Source organism: Homo sapiens, chromosome 2, assembly GCF_000001405.40.
Source record: "Homo sapiens chromosome 2, GRCh38.p14 Primary Assembly".
NCBI classification, from domain to species: Eukaryota; Metazoa; Chordata; class Mammalia; order Primates; family Hominidae; genus Homo; species Homo sapiens.
Genome location: NC_000002.12, coordinates 229,341,241 through 229,343,780, shown reverse-complemented (window position 1 = coordinate 229,343,780; position 2,540 = coordinate 229,341,241).

Sequence of the window (2,540 nt, the reverse complement as noted above, 5' to 3'; positions counted from 1 at the left end):
CTTCCAAGGCAGACTCATCCCCAGAAGCATTGCTCCCAAGGCATAACTAGCTTTTCTTCCAGCCCCTTCTGTTTTGTTTAGATGCTTGCTCTACTAGATTGTATGGCCTTTCTGGGTGGAAACTCCACCTTCATTCTTGCCCCACTCACCAGAGGCATCCATGATTTGTTGAGTGATTGACTTCCACACTGTTTCCTATCCTTCTCCCCACCCAATCACATCTGAGTGATTAAGAAGCATCAGTGAACTCTTTCCAGTCCCAACACACTCCCTTACCCAATTCCTTTATTTCCATTATTCCGAATGAATGTGTCTGTATCATATCAGAATTTCCCAAGCTTGCCCGATTGTGGGAATCACTGCCATGCTGTGAAAGTGACAGGTTCCAAGACTTTGCTTACTGGAGACTCTGATTCAACCAACAACTGTTCTGTGCTTGCTTTGGGCTAAGTTTTGAGCCATGTCCTAACAGTTCAGGGTGAATAGATTGATTCAGGTGGATTGTCTTTAAGGAACTGAAGTTGAGGAGGGAGTTCATTGGAGGCTTTGGGTATCTGATGGTAGGAAGTGGGAAGACGGTGTAGAAGGCAAAAGAGCCAGACACCACTTGCCATGTGCCCAGGGCTGAGCTGGATCCATGAACAGGACATTCAGGCCAGCTCAGAGTAGGAAGGCTCTGATCTTGAGGGAGAAGGTAATAAAACAAATAATTGCTGATTAATTCTGTTCCCACCCTGACTATTGTCCATAAAGCCTATCCATCAATTTGCCTGCTGTCAAACCATTGGCACAACAATTTAAGAATCTGAATCCAAGAATCCAACAATTGGGGCTGTGTACTCGCAGGGACTTGGGCCCTTGCTGCATTTCCAAGAGTTCTCTCCCTCTTGCAGTGAGCTCACAAGTGCGCAAGTCTAGGCTCAAAATAGAGCAGTTTTGCAAAACAAAATAGAGAAGTTTTACAGCACAGTTGCACATTTAAATCTAGTTGTGACTGAAAATAACCCAAATCTAGCTCCTAGAGGATGCCAGAACTTATCTATTAATTGTACATTTATTTGTATTAAGAATAGATCTTTCTGTGCAAAATGCTCTCAGACTGAAATAACTAATTTCAGATTCCTCTGGGAAATCAGGGGAAACAAGGCTGCTTACCTGGGTTTGCCTCTTTCAGACTTTCGGGGCGCCCTCCAGTGGCTGGGAGCTGGCTGACCGAGGAGGACCTGAGGATTTGGTGTGGGATCTGCCAGTCAGGTTTGCCTCCAGATTCTGCTTCCCTTGGCTTCTCTTGAGCTTTGCACTGGACATGGGTTCGTTTCTAAGCTATTCATTAACTAAAAAGGGCTGGGAGCCATTGCTCTCTCATCTTGCCTTTGCTGCACAGAGAGAAGCAACTTTTTGGCTCTTGCTTCCACAAGAAAGTCTTCTCCTTCCTAAATAGCAGGGATGCAGTGATGAGGATGGACATGTGCTGTGCTCACTCAGATGGATTTCCCAGCTCCCAACTGCATCCTCAGAGAACTGCCCAGCACAGAGGTGACCCCTGGGGCATCATTTTGCTCTTCTTGGGCAGCAAGCTCTAACTTGTATAAATCATCATATTCTTCAGGGATTTGCCCTTCTGCCTTCAGGTTTATATTATTAAACTATGCTCCTATTTTTACAAAAGGCCTCCTTCTCCAAAGTCAAGACATACAGACCATTTATCACCATGCACAGATCTTGAAATTCCTTTGAAGACCTTGGTAAGGGCTCCAATCCCATACTTATCCCTTGTGTCCTTCCAGTGGCATTCTGGTTGTTTGTGCAACTGTTTCCAATAGAGGTCTTTAGGGGCTATTGATCAATAAAAGTCTACTCTGACTGGCTTATCTAAAGTTGCGACACACACACACATGCACACACACATCTCCCACTAAACTATAAGCTGTGATAAGGGAGAGTTCTTCTTTTATTCATATCTGTGTTCCTAGGGCTTGGATTTCAGATAGGCACAAAGTAGGTTCTCAATGAACATTTGTTGAATGAATAAATAAGTGAATGAATGCCACATAGCAAGCTATCAGATAGTTTCTCTCTAACCTTTTCATCATGTGTTTAACATTCACGATTGGACATTCAAGGGATTTCTTCTTTCTTTCTTTCTTGCTTGCTTGCTTGCTTTCCTTTCCTTTCTTTTTTTTTTTTTTTTTTTTTGAGACAGAGTCTCACTCTGTCACCCAGGCTGGTGGGCAATGGCATGATCCCGGCTCACTGCAACCTCCGCCTTCCAGATTCAAGCAATTCTCCTGTCTCAGCCTTCTGAATAGCTGGGATTACAGGTACCCGCCACCACACCTGGCTAATTTTTTTTTTTTTTTTTTTTTGAGACGGAGTCTCACCGTGTCACCCAAGCTGGAGTGCAGTGGCACCATCTCGGCTCACTGCAAGCTCCACCTCCCGGGTTCATGCCATTTTCCTGCCTCAGCCTCCTGAGTAGCTGGGACTACAGGCACCCACCACCACACCCGGCTAATTTTGTGTGTGTGTGTATTTTTAGT